The sequence below is a fragment of the Homo sapiens genome, chromosome 7, assembly GCF_000001405.40.
Source record: "Homo sapiens chromosome 7, GRCh38.p14 Primary Assembly".
Taxonomy (NCBI): Eukaryota; Metazoa; Chordata; class Mammalia; order Primates; family Hominidae; genus Homo; species Homo sapiens.
Window position 1 is genome coordinate 132,154,992 of NC_000007.14, and position 18,282 is coordinate 132,173,273.

Consider the following 18,282-nt stretch of genomic DNA (forward strand, 5'->3'; position numbering starts at 1 on the left):
GGGAGACAGCTGCTGTGAACTCTTTATATTTCACTCAGAAGATAGTGTATCTTTTTATTGCCTACAGGAATTACTTATTTGAAAAAATATATCCTTTCAGCTTGCTCGACTTGAGCCACAAGACAGAGAGAGGGTGGTGGAGTTCTGGGGGCTATTGATAGAGCATTTGCATTAAACTACAGGAACCTCTGGAGGTCACGGACAGTGGCAGAGGGGAGAGGAAATGGGTCGCAGAGGAGACTGCGTGTGAACGGAATGGGAGTTCTCTCCACCTCCCTGCTGTGTAACCTGGGCCCAGGCACTGTGAGAACTCAGAGAACTGAGCTGCAGATTCTCCATCTGTGCAGGGGAAGAGAATGGCACCAGTGATTTCCCTTGAGGAGTGAAGGGAGGAGGAAAAAAAGCTCCTTAGTTCAGATAGAAAAATGTCCTGTCTCTGCTAGTCTGCTAAGAAGTGGGGAACATCTCCTAGGCACCTTGGCACCCCCAAGCCTGGCACAGAGCTGGCCACAGGGTAGGATCTTCTCGTGTTTGTTGAAGAGTTTAGTGATGCAAACAGGTACCTACCCTGCCCAGATACCTGTGGGTGGAAAGGGACATTTTAAACCTGGTTGTGGGGACAGCCTCACGTGTAGCAGGGGGAGTGCTACCTGGGCACTGTGCCTTAGAGCTCTGCCTCAGTCCCAACTCCTCCCGCTGTGGTCGCTGTCCTTCCCCAGCTTCCAACACATTGCAGTGAAGGTGGGCCCTGCGGTTTCTGGGATAGTTAATTCTACGTGTCAACTTGGCTGGGCCACAGTACCCAGATATTTGGTCACACATTATTCGATATGTTTCTGTGAGGGTGTCTTTCTATGAAATTAACATTTATATCAGGATGGATTTTGAATAAAGCAGATTTCTCTCCATAATGTAGGTGGGCCCCATCCAATCAGTTGAAGTCCTGACTGGAACAAAAGACTGACCTCCCTTGAGAAAGTGGGAATTCTGCCAGCAGACAGCCTTCAGACTTGAACTGCAATGTTGCCTCCTCCCTGGGTCTCCAGCCTGCCAGCCAACCCTGCAGATTTTCGACTTGCCAGCCTCCATAATCGTATGACCACTTCTTTAAAATGAATCTCTCTCTCTCTCTGTTTCTGGACATACACACACACACACACACACACACACACACACACACACACACACACAGACGCACACACGCACACAACCCTTGTTTCTATTTCTTTGGAGAATCCTTACTAACGCGGTTTCCCATCTTGGCTCCTTAATGCCTGCACAAGTCTGGCGAGGGAGTAGAGGGAGAGGAGTGGGAGAGCTCGTCTGAGCTCTGAGGAGCAATGAATAGACATGTCAGGAGTGAGCAGTTAGGCAAAGCCAGGGGCCACAGTGATGATGACAGGCAGGAGCCAAAAGCCAAGCAAGAGCCGGGAGGGTTGGGCTGGATTTACTTGGGACAATGACGGGGTGGTGCAAAATGTCTTTGCTTCTTGCGGAGCTGGCCTGGGATGGGTGCTCCTGCCGTGCCAGGGGCTGGGCATCAGGAGAGGGAAGGCAGCCTTTGCTGGATGCTCTCAGCAGTGGGAGAAGAAAGCACAGCGGGTGCGGGGAGAAAGTCGGGGGGCATGCTGTGCTGTCTTGGTCCTGTCCAGCCCATGGGGCTGAGTGAGTGCCAATGTGCTATGCGTCCCTTTGGCATAAATAGTCACACCTTACATTTGTAAATTGCTCTTAGGCTTTCAAAGCACTTTCACCTACATGATGGGAACAACTTGCCTTGCTTCTCTCTCCCTGTGGGGGCTGTGATTGAATAGTGTGGAAAAAGCATTTGGGTCTCTGAGGAGGCCCCATTTTTCTTGCGATGCAATCTAGCTTTGGTAAGAAGAAGCCTAGAGCTTTGTAAGCAGCTCTAAACTCTAGATTTAAAAGGAAAAAAGGGAACTTCTCAGAAGAGCACCCATCATGGTTGAGCAGGGAGATGTTGCTGAGCAGCTCAGTGTGATGCCCCTTCCCAGTGAGAGGGGGGCCCTGAGGTTCAAACTGCCCCAGGCCTCTCTTTGTTTCTCTCTGCTATCTGTCCCTGGTGTGGGGATCTTATTCCTCCAAGTGTGGCCCAGCAGCAAATGTGATGGCAGAGGGATCCTCTCTGTTTGTTTGGGTGCCTGGAGCTTGAACATTCATGGTGAGCACTGGAGACCTGTTTCCTCTGGGAAGCGGGTAGCCTTTCTCTGGCTTGTGCAGCCTCTGGCTGGGGAGACCAGCCACCCTCAGGCAGGTCCTTGTTGCAGAGCTGCTCTTGGGCTTCCTTTCATCATGGCGGGTGGCAGGAGCGACTGTGCCTGCTTTGTCTGCTGCTGTTTCCACTCCAGATAGTCTAGAACTCTGGCTTCAGGAGGCTTTGCATCCCATAAAAGACTTGCCTTGCTGGGCTTGCACTCCCAGGCTTTTTAAGGGAGTGATTTAAGGGACTCTCAGGACAAAGTTCACGGGGCTGCCTTCTGTGAGCCCCTCCATGGGAAATCACCTATTCTTAAGCACAGAAGCACACATCTCTTCATGCAGCTGCATGCAGGTGCTCCTTCTGTGTTCTGGCACAACTTTGCAATCTCAGCTTCCAGCATGAAGGAGCCTGCTCCTATCACAGCTCCCCCTCTTGGCCCCACTCTGTCTGGACTCTCCTCCCACCTGAATTGCATTAAGGACCCTGCAAAGCTGAAGGTGCCCCCTGCTATATGGCCCACAGATGAAACAAAGGAACAGTGGGTGCTAGCTGGTTCCACTACCAAACTCAATTCTCCCTGGAAAAACCCATTAAGGAGTATTCCACTCAATTGTTTGGACGTGGGGAACACAAAAATCCTCCTTCCAGGAACTGTTCTCTCTCCCACTGGGCCGTAACAGTTTCCTCACCCCATGAGTCTGTGGGCTCTTCATGGCAGCAAATCAAATGCACACAGACACACAGGTCTGGTCTGGCTCTAAGGGCACACATGTGAGCACACACCCATACCCCTCCCCACCACCATCACACATTGGCTTCCTCTGTGTCCCAGAAACAGCATACTCAGAGACACCTCCACAGTGGAGGGAGACACATGCTCACCGAATCTCCCTCCCTCAATATCCAAGCTCAGAGCACAGGGCCAAACACCTTCAGCCAAGAGCCAAGAGAGAGGAAATGGGGTTAAATGAAGAAGTGAGAATTTAGAGGAGTTACTACAACTTCCTGATCCTAAGACTCTTTAGACATCAGAATTCAGAGGGAGTGGGGTGAGGCAGTGGGAGGCAATGAAAATTCCCTCTGGATTCTAGAAAATAGCATAGATGCCCGTCTGTCTTGGATGGCTTAGCCAAAGCCAGCTTAGAGGCCAGATGGATGGATTAGAGGTGTCTGAGGGGTCCTCCCACCACTATGTTACCAGGAATCTCCAGATACGAGCACATACACACATCAATGCTTCTCCCTCCATGGCCAGCATCAACAAACAGGCACAGACAGTATCCTTGTATTATCCTCATAATCAGTGACAGCAGCCAATACTTACTGAATGTGTACAATGGATCACACACTGCATTAAAGACGCTTTTACATGCATGATCTCACTGAATTCTTACTACAAGGCAGGCACTATGATTATCTCCATTTATAGCTAGGAAACTAAGGCATACACAGGTTACTTGACCAGGGACACACAGCTAGGACTTGACGGCACCAGGACTCAAATCTAGATGTGTTTGATGCTGGCCCTCAAGGCTGGAACCACCTCTCTTCCCCACTGGCCTCTTCAGATCCTGGGGCTCCCCATGAGGATTTCCCCAGGATGGCATCCTATGAAATGCTTATGCAAACCATAACTGGCTCTAAGTACAGGTGGCCCTAACCAGCATGCCCTTGTTTATAGAGGCTGGGAGATATATTCATGTAACAGCTAAAATGTCAGACTTCTCTCCAGCAGGCTTTCAAATCTCATTTTCCCTATACTTTCTCTCCATTCTCTATCACTGACCCAGATCCCTCAAGCTGTAGGTATTCAGCAAAAATTATAGGCATGGAACTGAGCAGAAGGGAAGAGCCTCAGGCAACAACAGAGGCGGTGGCAGGACCTTGGGCCGCAGGAGCTCAGACAAGCGGACTCTGCCCTTAAATCCCCTTCTTTCCAGATATGACTCCTTCATTTCCCACCCCTCTGCTATTCAAAGGACCCCAGAGGCATGTCCTGCCAGGCAGATCACCAACAGACTACCAAGTGGCCCGTGGACCCCTCTCTGCAAACTGTTCACTGACCAGCTCTGGTCAATTCCAAGCAGGCCAGGAAGGCAACCCCATGGGCTCCTGCGGGGGTCCAGCCATGCCTGACTCCCTCCAGCCAGTGATTATTCCCCTCAGATCTCTACCCCAGCCCTGCCTCTGCTGACAGGAGAAGGTGAGGTGTGTTCAGGAGCAGCCACAAGGACAGCCCCTGGGTGGACAGCCTACTCACCCAGATCCATATCTGCAGCTTTGGGCCGGTGGGAGCAAGGCACATTCTTGAAGATGGCATCCAGAATCTTCTCCTTGACCTGAGTGATGGTGTCACAGTTGAGGATCTTTACTGGGACCTCGGGGCTGTTGGCATTGTCTGGGCTGACACAGCTCAGGACCTGAAGGAAAGGTGGGGAGAGGAAGCATATGAAATGGGGTAGCAGGAAAAGCTCCTAGATCCCCAGCAGCACCCTGGGATTCCGTCCTGAATGGCTCATCCTCTCCAGGATGGGCTAGGGAGGAGTAGGGTGGCTCCAGGCCATCTGTGCTCCCACCAAGCCCACTGCCCTTTCCTGTCCAGGCAAGCAGGACAATGCCTTGGCTTCAATGTCCTTGAGGGAGTGCGAGCTGCACACTTCACTCCCTGTCAGAACAAACTTCATTAAAATCCTGATTTTTCAAAGGGACAATGCCCAAGCATGTGGAAGCAGTGAGGGGAAATTTGCAACAGAACAGACACCAGTGCATGCATGCACACGTGCTATCTCTCTCACATGCATACAGGAGGCAGTGTCTCAGCGGCACACCCAGACCCTCGCCCACTTCTGAAACCCCCTGCCCATCCATGTTTGTCTGTCTCCTTCTTGTCACTCCTTCTTGGACACACACACACAGAACTAATAGGAATCTGGCTTCTTTCTCCAAATATTTCACAAGCTTCAATTTTTATGAAGGTTTCATTCACCTGATTAGAGGTTGGCAAATCTATAAGACACTTAATGTATTCTTTAAAAATAAAAAGATGCCCTTTAAAGATTGCAGGTTCAGGACACCTGAGATTCTTTCGTGGCCCTGAATAGGGCCCCTGTGTTGGGGGAAGAGGCGACTGCATAGTTCAGGGCCTCCATTTCTCCTTTTGGAACTAGTAGGAAAAGTTGAAACTGCTTCACCAAATTATCTTTTTATTTTTTTTCCTTTAAAAAGTTCTGGGCTTTTCCTTTAAAAAGAACAAGGCTTTTCTTCTCTTGCTGTTCTCACAGTGGGATCTTTCTACATCGACGGCACCGTGTGGGCTCCTGGGTGGACTGGAGGGGAACGGGGTGGGTGCTGTGCGTACTGGAGTAAGTGAGGGCACAAGATCCAAGGCAGAGAGGCTGGGCATCCTAGGGGTACTGATGCCAAGTGGCCCTCCCCTTCTGGGCTCCCGAACTCTCCCTCGGGCCCTGCTGCCAGAGAGCCCTCTGTGTGTCTCTCTCCTTCTCGGAACTTTCACTCCCTCTGTGCCCCCATAAGCATTTCCCAATTGTCCCATCTGGTTTGCAGAGCCAGACAGCAGTCTCTCTCCCACTCCACCCCCTTCTTGCTGCATGTGGTGGCAATCAGAACCCTGGGCTCTGGGCACCTGCCTTTCATTAGCAACTAGACTGCTATGAGCTCAAATGCGAACATGCTTATTCCATTAAGAAGGGGAAGAAAAAAAAACCCCTGAAATCTATAAAACCAAACTTTCACACTCAAAATGCCCTAACCTGAAAACAATGGTGGAGAGACTGCTGCCTCAAGCGCTCCATGTGTGCCTCCTCCCAGCTCTCCCCTCCTTCTAAGAGTCTTCTGGCCCCTTCCCTCTGCTCAGCAGCCAGGCAAAGCCTGACCCTTGGGCTGTTCTGGCAGCCCCTGCTGTCCTGTCCTCTGGGCCCTGGTGGGGCAGCTCAGCCTTCCCAAGACAGCAACACAGCTTGCCCTGGGCTTCCTCCTCTGAGGGACCCATGGGGCAGAGGCTGCCACCTAAACGTAATCCCCTGGCATTTCTAATTGCCGCAGGAATTCAGCGTGGCCTCATGAGAACAACTCCATGGTGCACTTCAGGGCAGGAGTTGGCGTTCTAAAGTGGAAGCAGTGGCCCCACAGAAGGACAGAGCCCCTGGCCACTGGCCAAGCTAGAGCTCCACCCACAGGTTCCCTTCCTCCATGCTCCTTGGCTAGTTTGTGGACAAGCTGCCTCATGATTTCTCTGCCAGGGAAGTGCCTCTCAAACGCTAATGTGAATAGAAGCACTTGGGGGCTTTGTTGAGATACAAAATCTGATCTAGGAGGTCTGGGATGGGGCCTGAGATTCTGCATTTTTCCAGGTTCCCAGGCAACTAGCTAGTGCTCCCAGGTTCCCCGGTGGGCATCTAGCGCTCTAGCAGGCTTCCAGGTGCGCATCTAGAACTCTAGCAGGCTCCCGGGCGGGCACCTAGCACCCTGGCAGGCTCCCGGGCGGGCACCTAGCGCTCTGGCAGGCTCCCGGGCGGGCACCTAGCGCTCTGGCAAGCTCCCAGGTGGGCATTTAGTGCTCTGACAGGCTACCAGGTAGGCATCTAGCATTGCCTGGTTCCAGGCTCCCACGTGGGTACCCAGTGCTCTAGTGGGCTTCTAGGTAGGCATCTTGCACTCTGCACCCAGATGTTGCTGATGTTGGTACTAGGGTGCTCCCACTGGCATGGTCCTTGGCCACACCAGTCCAAGCTCCAGCATCAATCCAATAAATCACTAAACCCCTAGAGGCACACCTGACTGCAAAGTGGTACACTCGCTTTCTCCCCAAGCCTCTTAGAGCCTCTCCGTGGTTCTCTCTCCTGCCCAAGACAAGGCTACTTTTAGCAGGTCCATAGCACTCTGGGCTCCTCCAGCCACCGCCGAGTTCCAGGACTCGTCTGCACGCCCTGTGTGCTGCTGTCCTGCACGATTTCTTGCCATCTGTCCACACCCTGAGGGGGCTGCTCCCCTGCACATGTGCAAATACTTTCCCCAGGCCTGAAGGTGGCTATTAAAGCTCCCTGTGGCCGTTTCTTCTCCAGGCAAAACAATTGCAGTTTCTTTCCTCTTTCCTCACTGCTCCTGTCCTCAAGTGTTCCCACCTAAATGGATACTGGTCCCTGAACCACTCCAATTTCCTCACATTCTCTTTAAGTTGCGGCACCTGAAATCAGCTCAGTGCACTACCAGTACTGTGGCCTCTGGAACAAAGGATGTTGCAATTTGGGGACAGAACATTATTACAACTGATTGTGTTGGATTCAATATTGGGAGGGTGCTGAGGAGACAGGAAAGAAAGGGAGTGGAACGGGGGAGACAGGGTGGAAGACATTTACGCAGTACTTCTATCTCATTAAGAAATCCATTCAGGTCTCTATTTTTGGAAGGGTTTTCCCCCTCTTTTCCATTTTAATCGGAGCCTCTCTCTCTCTCCTTCCAAGCAGACGGTAACTGCCAGAAAGCAGGGGCCTCATTCACAGGCTGCTCCTTTGAATCTTCATAACGGAGCCAATCCCCACAAATCTGTTCAGACGTCTACTGGGATTCCCGGGGCTTTTGGAAAATGAGAGTGGGATAGGTGGATCATGGTCACAGCCTTCCCAGCCAGCAGGGATGGCTTTGTTCAGAGGTGGGAACTGTCTCCCCAGCTAGCCACAGGCTCTGGAATTTGCCCTCAGCTCAGAGCAGTTGGAGGGGTTGTCTGAGAATCACACTCCCTCCCAGTACTACAATGCCCCAGCCTGCTGTGGCTCCCTCTCCCGACCGCTGCGTTTGAACTTCAGTCTGTTCCCCGTCCTCCTCGTTCCCTTCTGTCTCTCTTGCCTCCATTCTTGGGTGCCACTTGCATATCACCCCCAACACTCAGCTTTTATCTTTTCATACTCCCTCCTTCCAAGTCCTCTCTTTCTCAGAGAAAAAGGGCTGGTTGGAGATCACTGTGATCTCCAAAAAATCCCGAGAGTGAGCTCCCTGGGTTTGAAAGGACAGTGAGCAGCGAGTGGACGCACGGTGACAGTGGGGAGAGGCAAGCGGGGCCTGCGTGACCAAGCACTAGTGCATGAGTATGACGCGGGCTTCACTGCCTGTTCATCTTGTCCCATCTGATCCTCTGCACAACTTCACTCTGAGCAACTATGATTATCCCCACTTTAGTCGGTTCTGTTGGTGTTCTCATTTTTTCAGATAAAGAGACCCAAATTCAGAGAGATTAGGAACCTGCCCCAATTCACCCTGTTGGTCGAAGGCAGAGCCAGGGCTCAAATCCAGGTCTGTCTGATCCCAAAGGCCATGCTCTTGAATGCTAAGCCTTGGTGCCTCCTAGGGTAGCTGTTTTTGTCAGGTGAGGGAGCCTGACCTTGATGGAGGGGATCCCCACGTTCCTTCAACAACTGCCTTGCACCACTAGGCCACCTTGGCCTTGCGTTATACAGCTTGGGTCACAGTTGTATTTGAACTTAGAGCAGAAGGCAGTGGGGGCTTCAGAGCTATGAGTAACTCTTTCTAGCTTCCTTTCCTCTCTGTCCCCCACTCTCTGCCTGCACGGACCTCTTCTGTAAAGCGTTGACTCTAAGCTGGGAGGACAGAAGAGTTCACCTGGGTCAAGGGCTTTGACCCTATAACTGGTGTGGTCAGAAACCCCCAGTTCATTGGCTGAAGTGTCACTCAAATGTGTCTGAGCTACTGGTCCCCAAATCCAAATGCCCTGGTGAAACAGAACAGAGGAAGTCTGGGGTGATGGACACAGCGGGAGCACCTGGCTGGGCCCACACAGCAGACACACCTGGAGAGGCAGCTGTTCAGCCTTTCAGCCATCTCCACTGCTGAGCAGGGCTACCCAGGATGGAAGCCCGCCTGTCAAAGCCCCAGGGGAAACAGATGGGTGGGCTCACCAGGGTTTTGTAGTCAATCTGCTGGCGGATGAGCTTGTCCTCGCTCAAGGAGTAGCGGGCCTCGCCCGTGATGGCGTCAATGGGGCCCTTCTCCATCTGCTGCTTGATGGCACAGAACAGGGAGAAGAGGGGCTCCCCAGCACACTCCTGGAGGTGAGAAGAACGTCATTAGGAGGAGCTCTTGGAACACTGGAGTGTACCCCCAGTCCCTGCTTCTCCAAAGGGCTGCTTCCATCCCCTGCCAAGTCCCTGCACCTGCCCCCACCTGCTTTTATACTCAGCTCTTCAATCTCCTTCTCTCCATCTCCTCATCCTTCAGGCTGGCATTCCTCCTGGCTCTTTGGACCACAGGGTCTTTTCCCATTCTACCCATTTCTCCTTTCCTACTGCCGCCTCTCCAGGGCTCTTTCTTCCTCCCCCGCTCCCCTCCCCTCCTGCCCTCCTCTCTGCTCTCCCTCCCCACCTCACCCCGCTCTCTCAGAGGCCCCATCCAAAGGCAGAGGTCAGTCCTGGGTGGCAAGAACTCCTTAGAACATAAGTTAATAATTGGAAGCTGAGCCTCTTCCACCTCCCAGGCGCATCCTTGGCTTATCTGCCGCAACATGCGGCTTCTGCACCGGCCGGGGGGCCTTATCAGCCTCAGTAAGTCTGGGGCTGGGAGAGGGAAGAGGAAAAGCAGAGAAATAATGGGCAAATTGTTTTTAACTTCAAAGGAGGATTCAGCTTTAGGGACCATGCAGGGCCTCTCAGGGCTCATCTATCCCTTGCCCGGCAGTAGGAAACTAGCCTTGGGAAGACTGTGTCTTTGGAGCTATGATGGACTGCAGGCCTCTGTCTTCCTAGACAGTCCATGATAAGGATGAATTCCATTTCTTGTGGGGTTATAAGAGCCAGGCCCAGTAAGGGAGGACTCGGGGGTGTGGAGCGATCCCCAGTCAGGCTGCAGAGAATGAACGAGGCAAGGCCAGAAATACGTCCACATCCAACCCTACCTTGAGGAACTTGTAGAGGAGGAAAGTAAACCAATTGGTCAGCATCTTCTCAGCCACTGACTCAGTCCTGTCAGCAGTCACCGAGGGAACCAACGGAACAAGACAAAGAAAGAAGCAGCTGGTCAGAGCCCGTGGGCTGGGAAGGGCAAGGGAGGAATTGTGCATTGATCTTGCTGCTTCTAGCGTTTAGGCCAAACCTTGCGATCCTAATGAATATGAGAGTTTCATGGACTCCTAGACGCCCCCATAATGGTAAGACAAGCTTTTCCTACAAAGCTGGAAGATGACATTTTGGGCAGCAGGCTGTGGGTGGGATTTTGGCTGGAACGCCTTAGAGCACCGCTGTCCAATTGCACGTTCTGTGATGATGAAAATTTTCTCTACCTGTGCCATCTAATATGGCAACCACCGGCCACACATAGCTACTGAGCACTTAAAATGTGGCAGCATGTCTGAGGAACTGACACTGAACTTGTATTTATTTTTAACTAATTTAGATTTAAATAGTCACATGTGGCTCATAGCTATCCTATTAGATAGTATAACCTTAGAGAACTTTATAGGCTAGTTGTGTTCTTTTGGGTGAAAAAAAAAAATCCCAAATCCTGGGGAGGTACCAATTTGGCAGGGAATAGGAATAAAGGTGGCAGGAGAAGGGTTCCATGTCAGAAGGTCAGATGGCCAAACTGAGTCCACAGCCTCAGCTAAAGGCTCCCAGCATTCGCCGCAGCATAAAGCCATATACCCAGCTCAGCCCAAGCCGTGTTAAAACTGTCCTATTGCGGCTGGGCACGGTGGCTCTTGCCTGTAATCCCAGCACTTTAGGAGGCCAAGGCAGGCAGATCATGAGGTCAACAGATCAAGACCATCCTGGCCAACATGGTGAAACCCCCTCTCTACTAAAAACACAAAAATTAGCTGGGCGTGGTGGCACGTGCCTGTAACCCCAGCTACTTGGGAGGCTGAGGCAGGAGAATCGCTTGAACCCAGGAGGTGGAGGTTGCAGTGAGCCAAGATCTTGCCACTGCACTCCAGCCTGGCGACAGAGTGAGACTCCGTCTCAAAAACAAACGAACAAAGAAACAAACAAGAAACTGTCCTATGGCAAAAGATTCCACATCCTTTGGAACTTCCCTTGGGAGCCCTTCTAGAGTTTCATTTGCAATGACAGAAAGTTCATTCTTGAGTCTAACTTGCATCTTTCATGCTACAACACAAGCCCATCTACTCTTTTACTTTGGAAGTGAAGATGCAGCAGCAGTGCAGTCAGCCCAAGGACATTTTCAGTTGCATCCATTTAGAGAAAACAAATTACGTTCAAACTTGCACTAAGCATGCGGCCAGCTCCAGAGAGAAACTAGCCCATCCAGGTATGTCTGGATAGAGTTTAAAGTTGCAGTTGCCAGAAAATGCTAATAACTAAAATCCCAAGGTAGTTGGGAGGCTGCCGGCACAAAATGAAGCTGGTAAGAGAAAAGAAGAAGGAACATTGAAAGGAGGTGGGCAGCCGGGGGCAAGAAGAAGAAAAGGAAAGGAGGGCAGAAGGAAGCAAGAGCATCCAGGAGAACAGGAACGGAAAACAAGGGGAGGAGACACAGAGGCAGAGCGAGACCACGCCAGAAAGTTGTCGGTGGGAGCTCTGGCAGGCAGTGGCAACCCTAGAATTATGCCAGTGGGTGGCTGCGTGGTGAAAGTAAAACAAAAATCAAAATGATCTACCTTGCTGTTTCCAAAGCTGTCTGCTGGCTCTTATATGCAGCAGACTTTTGCAGCTGTGCAGGCAAATGCCCACTGCTCCAGGAAAAACCCTGAAGTAAACACTTCTGAAAGCCAAATCTATCTGCTGGACCAAGTGGGAGCCACTGAAGCTCAGCCTGAGACCCAAAGACCAAAGATGGAAGTCTGGGGGACAGGCAGACAGCAGGCAGACAGCACATGAGTGGTCTAGGCAGAGGGCTGGACATAATGACATGACGTGGGAGTTTTCTAACTTCAGATATGCCAAGGCCAAAGGTATTGGAATAATGGCCTAGAGGAGAAATGGCCTTCGAGTACACAAAAAGTTCAAACAGAAGCACTGGTAGAGTGAGAGAGTTTCTAATTCCTATAAGGCGAAAGTCATAGGATAAGGTTATGTCTTCACACAGGACCTTTAAGGTTTCAACAGTATCAAGTTTGAGGCCTCCAGGGTGTTGAGTGGTGGACTCTGGGCCCATTTACAGCCTACAGCAGGTGCGAGGAAACACTTGCTGGGCTGTGCTGGGTGAGACATCACCAAAGGACTTTCCTTCAGTGCTTCTCAAACTTTAATATGGATTGGGATAAACTGGGTTCCTCACTAAAATGCAGGTTCTGATTCAGCGGGTCTGGGAGGGCCTGAAATTCTGCATTTATTTATTTATTTTTTAATTTTTTTTTAGCGACAGGGTCTTGCTCTGTTGCCCAGGCTGGAGTGCAGTGGTGAGATCATGGCTCACTACAGCCTCAAACTCCAGGGCTTAAAGGATCCTCCTATCCCAGCCTCCAGAGTAGCTGGAACTTTACAGGTGTGCACCATCATGCATAGCTAATTTTTATATTTTATTCTTGTAGAGATGAGGTCTATGTTGCCTGCTATGTTGTCCAGGCTGGTCTTGAACTCCTGGCCTCAAGAGATCCTCCTGCCTTGGTCTCCCAAATTGTTGGGATCACAGGCATGAGCCACTGCACCTGGCTTGTGATTCTGCTTTTCTAACAAGCTCCAGTGTGCTCCCGATGCTGTCCTCTGCCACCTGATGGCATGAGGCCACAGGTCTTCTCTCCTAGTCCAACTTTGGACTCAGATAAGGCCAGAGGATGGTCTAAGTGACCTCTGAAGATTCCATGAGAGGAGATTGCAGTAGACAGGGTCAAGATTAAGTAGAAGGGCAGAGAAGGAAAAATGGAGATTCGACAAAGGGGCAAGAGAACAAGAGGGTGAGCCAACAAGTCCATGCATCCTTGACTCCTGAGGACAGTGGACAGGTTCTTCTAAGGGGGCCTGCAATGTAGTCCTGGCTCTGGGCTAGTTAGTGACTTGAACTTGGGAACATGGCTGCTCTCCTAGGAGCTCCACCCGAGTCTCCCTGCAAGGCACGGTGAGCCAGGTGCATGGCTAGGCTGGAGCAGGGTGCCCCAGACTGCACCCTCACCTCCTGAGCAGCAGCTTAGGGTGGTTCTTGCTCTCCAGGTTCTTGTCAATGAGGTCGGCCAGCAGCTGCTTCAGCACATCAGTGGCGTACTCCAGCTTGCTCTGCAGCACGGTCATGATGAGTGAGGCCACGTTGCCACGGTCGCGCATGGAGAAGCTACGCTGGGACTCAAGCGTGCGGATGAAGGACAGCAGGAACACCTTGTTGTTGATGAGCTGGGCGAAGAGCTTCAGGCCTTTCTCCACACGCTCCTGCCGGTAGCCCGGGACCTGCAGAGAGACCTAGGAGTCGTGATGCCATTGGCAGGTTGGGGAGCTCAGTGACCTCCCCACGGGATGGCTGTGCCCATATCCATGACCCTCTCATCCACCAATTAAGCCACAGTCCACCTGGCTAATGCTGTCAAGCCCTTAGCACTGAGTTAAGTATCTGATTAACCTCCATCGCAGCCTCTAGTTTAGAGATGAATCAATTGAAGCACAGAGAGAGCATCACATGGTTAGTAAATGGCGGGGCTAGGATGGCACTCACTTCTGCCGGACTCCAGAGCTCTTCCCTGATGGTGACGCAGAGTTGATGAGGGCCCCTGTGTCATGGCAGAGCACCTCACAGTCCCTGTGGGGAATTCCAGGTGCCCAGGGCTGTCGTGGTTTACACCCTGAGAATCCCCATCCCTGAGCCTGGGACTAACCTAATGCCCACCCCTCTCCAGCCCTAGGGGTGCTGTTGATACACCAGTGGCCTCGGAGTCAGGACATCTGGGTTCCACGTGGATTCTGATACCACCTTGCTGGGTAACTCTGGGTAAGTCTCTTTCCTTCTCTGGGGGCCCAAGTTTATCCACATGATAAAAAGGGAAGATTGAGCCCAAGAGTCTCTAAAGAACTTCCTAACTCTAGCATTTGCTGTTTTCTTAGGGACTCTCTCTAAGACCCTGCTCTATGCAGGGGAAGAGGAAGAAGATGGTCTTATCTTTCTGCCTCCATTGTCTGTTCATTGGGAGATCTCTGCAAGGGTGTACCATTCACTCAGCAAACACGAGTCAATGACTCAGGTAGGTGTGGAAGGCCCACCTCTGAGATGTCCAGGGGTGTGCATTGCAATCCTGTCAGTCACAGCTCCAAACTGGAAACACTCAGATGTCCAGCAACAAGAGAACAGGTGGAGGAATTGTGGTGTATTCCACCCAATGGATACCACACAGCAATGAGAATGAATGACCTATTGCTACACACAATAACAGGATGGGTCCTGCAAATGTACTGAATGAAAAAAGCCAGATGCTAAAGAGGGCATAGTCTTCATAGAATACCATTTAAATAAATATTTTAAAAGCAGATAAAATTAATCAATGGTTGTAGAGAAATGACTGCTCTAGGGGATGGCTGTAACTAAAAGGGGGCACCCCGGGACTCCTGGGGGACTGGCCATGTTCTGCTTGGTGCTGGCTTGAGGGGTGCTGGCTTGATGGGCATGTTCACTTGGGGAAAAGTCATCGAGCTGCACGCTGACAATTTGTGCGTGATTTGTATGCATGCTTCTGTTAAACCAAAAGACGTACTTAAAAAGTCAGCTATAGGATCTGCCCCCAAGGGGGAGCTTCTGAGAACACTGCAGGGTGTGTCTCCTGAAGTGGGGCACTGGAGGAGGCAGGGAGTGGGAGGGACGGCCTGGGGAGGTAACTTCGGAGTCACGTCTTGAGGGCTCTGTCTCCCCAAGGGGGTGGATACCACAGTTCTTTGAGAAGGAGTGTCATGTATACAGCAGTAACGAGCCTGGTTTCAGAGTCGGTCATGCTTGGGTTTAATTCTGTCACAGTCATTTCCTAGGGCCCTTAGTGACTCAGTTTCTTCACCAGCAAAATGAACATAATGATAGCTAATACTGATATAGATCTAAGTCCATACTGCCATTCTGTGTGCTTTAGAAATACTGACCCACTTAATGCACACAGCACCAAAAAGGTAGGTTTGTTATAATCCCCATGAGGGACCCTGTGAGGATAAGGAGCTTCACAAAGCCCCAAGACACAGAAGGGTGGAAGGAGGTCATAAATCCCGGCACTTGGCACTTCTTTCTGCCATCTCCAGGGACCATGATGTAAACTGAAAGGAGAGGGGGTATGAAAAGCTGATGCACATCCCAGCTCCTAAACAGCAGCTACATCCTCCTGCTCTACTCTTGAGGTTTTAAACTGGGAAAAATGGAGATGGCCAGAGAAAGCCTTCTTTAACCAAAGTCGCAGAGGGTGGCAGAACATTCATGATCCTCATTACCAATACCCTGTGTTCCAGGCTCAGGGCAAGGCACTGGCAGGAGGCCGGGTTCAGTCAGATCCAGGCCCTGTCCTGAGAAGTTCAACCAGGAGGCCAGCCCCAGAGAGCCCTGAGATCCCTTCCATAGCGGAGCTCTGTGAGCCAGCCCTGCACCTTGCACAGAAGGGCTGTCATTGAAACCTCCAACTAGCCCGTCATCAGTAGCTCCTATGGGTCTGGAAGCTGTAGGAAACGTGTGTGTTTCCAAATCAGGTCCATTTTCATTTCTCTCACTGTGGTGCTGGTCCTTGGAGGGCCAGTTCTCAGGAGACAAATGGGAACAGCTAGAGATAAACAGGCTACAGCAGGCCACAGCCCCTGCTGGCAAACCCCTCACCTCCGGAGGTGGGACTAGCCTCTGCTTTCTTCGTGCCTGCCTCCCCCAGTTCTCCCCACCACTGGGGGCTGATGAGGGAAGGACAACTTTACCTTGCCATCAGCCCGGGCCTCAATCTGCCCATTTATCTGTCTTCCAACTCTGTGACCACCCCCATCACATACATGCCGCTGTCCTTCAAATTACTCAGAAGAGCAGTTCTATGACTTGTTCTAATAATAGTAGATAATGTCATTTCTTGGGCATCCACCATGTGCAATGCACAGTGCCTGGCACATTACACACATTGTTTCAATGAGGCCTTCTAATGATCTTGCAAAACTGAGTTAACAATCTCTCAGAGAAGCTATTGCAGCTATTCCAAGGCAGCCTATCTCATGACAGGCAGTGCTGGATTATGAAACCCAAACTTGTTTGGCTCCCAAGTGCCCGTTCGTCCTCCCCATCTTTCACCATATCTAGCCCTACCCCTGGGCTTGAGAGTTGTCTGAAAGCCAACTCGGATGTCTCTCTAAAGCCTTCCCGTGCAGGGCCTCCCACCAGCTCAGACTGGCCGGCTAAGGGAGGGCAGTCACCAGAAGGTTTAGCACTATGGCATTTAGAGAGGTGGAAGAGGACATGGGTTGGCTAGATAGCACACTTGGTGTGAGGATCCACTCTGGGATTCTTGCGAGGCTGCCCCTTCTCTGTGTGCAAAATGCATATGCCTCCTGGGAAGCAGGTCTGGGGCCCTGGGAAGGAAGATTTTAGCAAAGCCACCTACAGTGAAATAGCATCCTATTCAGCAGCATGGGTCTTAGAAGCAGAGAGACCACAGTGACTCGTAGGTGGAGGAAAACTCCATCACCTCTGGGCTCTATTGCCTCGTCTGTAAAATGAGAATATGAGTGTCTATGTCATAATGTTTTATGAACATTAAATAAGATAATGTATGTAAAGTGCTTGGCATGCACCGTGCACACTTAAACGGCAACAGTTTTATTACCTGCCTTTCAGACTCCCTGGACTGCTTTCCAGGGATCCCTTTCCTCCAAGAGTTTCCCAGACATCTAGTGCATCAGGGTGGTGTTTTGGGGTGTGGGAGGTAGGAATTTTCTCCCCACTTTATGAAGGAAGGAGATGGAAGTGAAGTGTCTTGGTCAGGAGTGTCCAAAACAGTTCCTCACTGTTGCCTGCCACCCTCCCCAGCCCAAGCAAATGCTACTCTGAAACAAGACTTTCTTTATTCACCAGATGGTTCTCTAATTTAGTTGAAGTCTGTGAGTATAAAACTGGATAGTAAATTTTAATTGTAACCCAATAGGTTAGAGTTTAGGAGCCAATGATAGACTGAAATTGGGAGATTGACTGCTCTGTGTTTTAAAAGGTTGGTACATGACCAGTGCCTGGGAAGCACCTTTCTTGAAGGCCTGGACTTAACCCAGAGAGCCCCACTTGAGGGGGCTGGGTGACCTCCCCTCCAGGACAGCCTGAAGCAAGAGGACACCTCCTTCTTCACACTTCCAGAGGTAAGCAGGAACCCCAGTGGCTGAAAGGGCTGGGAAACACTGGTTTGGATTAATCAATGGCTTGTTTCCATACTTAGAACACCAAGGGGGAGAAACTACTCCAGGGGCAAGAAGGGGTTGGAAAAAAAGCAAATAAGAAAAACAGTGATCCACACACAATCCCTCGATTTCACATAGAAGGCTGGATCTCACATAGCCCCCGGCTAATGCGGGCCAGTAAAAGTTCTCAGAAAATCCAACTTAAACATATGTAACTAACCTGCACATTGTGCACATGTACCCTAAAACTTAAAGTATAATAATAATAATAATAATAATAAAGTTACATCTTTAAAGGAAACCTACTTAGATTTGGAATTTTGAACTCATGAAGAAAGGAGAATAACTTTATATACTCATCCTCATTGCATTCTTATTTAAATTATTCTCCATCCCATCCACAGAGTAATATGGGAATGTTCAGACATAATTTCCCGTCCTACAACCCCCGTTTCCACCTTAATTCAGCCAAACACACAGATATTCATTTATTCAATCATTTACCACTTCCCACATGCCCATTATGTGCCAGGCACTCTACTCTGCTGGAAGTTAGAACTACAAAGATAAATAAGGTACATGCACAGTCTACACATCCAATCATACACACACACGTGCACACAATGGTCTTATCTTCTTGTCCCTCTTGTGTCTCACTTTAAACAGGAATTTGTATACTCTCCAGGGCCCTAAGAGAATCCTGGTAATTTGAAGCAAACGAAGGTGAGGCTGGAGAAAAATAAAAGGAAGAGAAAAATGAGTAGGACTGGG

General features: G+C 50.6%; 1 protein-coding gene across 7 annotated transcripts in view, besides 1 other annotated feature; it reads right to left on the reverse strand.

The window, feature by feature from the left end:
* PLXNA4 (plexin A4) overlaps positions 1–18,282 on the reverse strand; it is a 525,349-nt gene that overhangs the window by 31,652 nt on the left and 475,415 nt on the right. For 5 of the 7 annotated variants that reach the window (NM_001393897.1, XM_017012779.1, NM_020911.2 and 2 more), the window contains 4 exons: positions 13,313–13,581; positions 10,143–10,209; positions 9,151–9,297; positions 4,482–4,641 (listed from right to left, as the gene is read on the reverse strand). In NM_001393897.1, the coding sequence (NP_001380826.1) occupies positions 4,482–4,641; positions 9,151–9,297; positions 10,143–10,209; positions 13,313–13,581 (643 nt within the window). The other 2 variants (XR_927546.3, XM_011516676.3) reach the window with 2 other exon arrangements.
* Positions 1,044–1,544: an enhancer, noted in NCBI's record as "H3K4me1 hESC enhancer chr7:131840794-131841294 (GRCh37/hg19 assembly coordinates)". NCBI's record gives its function as "activates a minimal SCP1, AML or CMV promoter by ChIP-STARR-seq in naive H9 embryonic stem cells {active_cell/tissue: H9 hESC(naive)}" and the evidence as "EXISTENCE:reporter gene assay evidence [ECO:0000049][PMID:30033119]".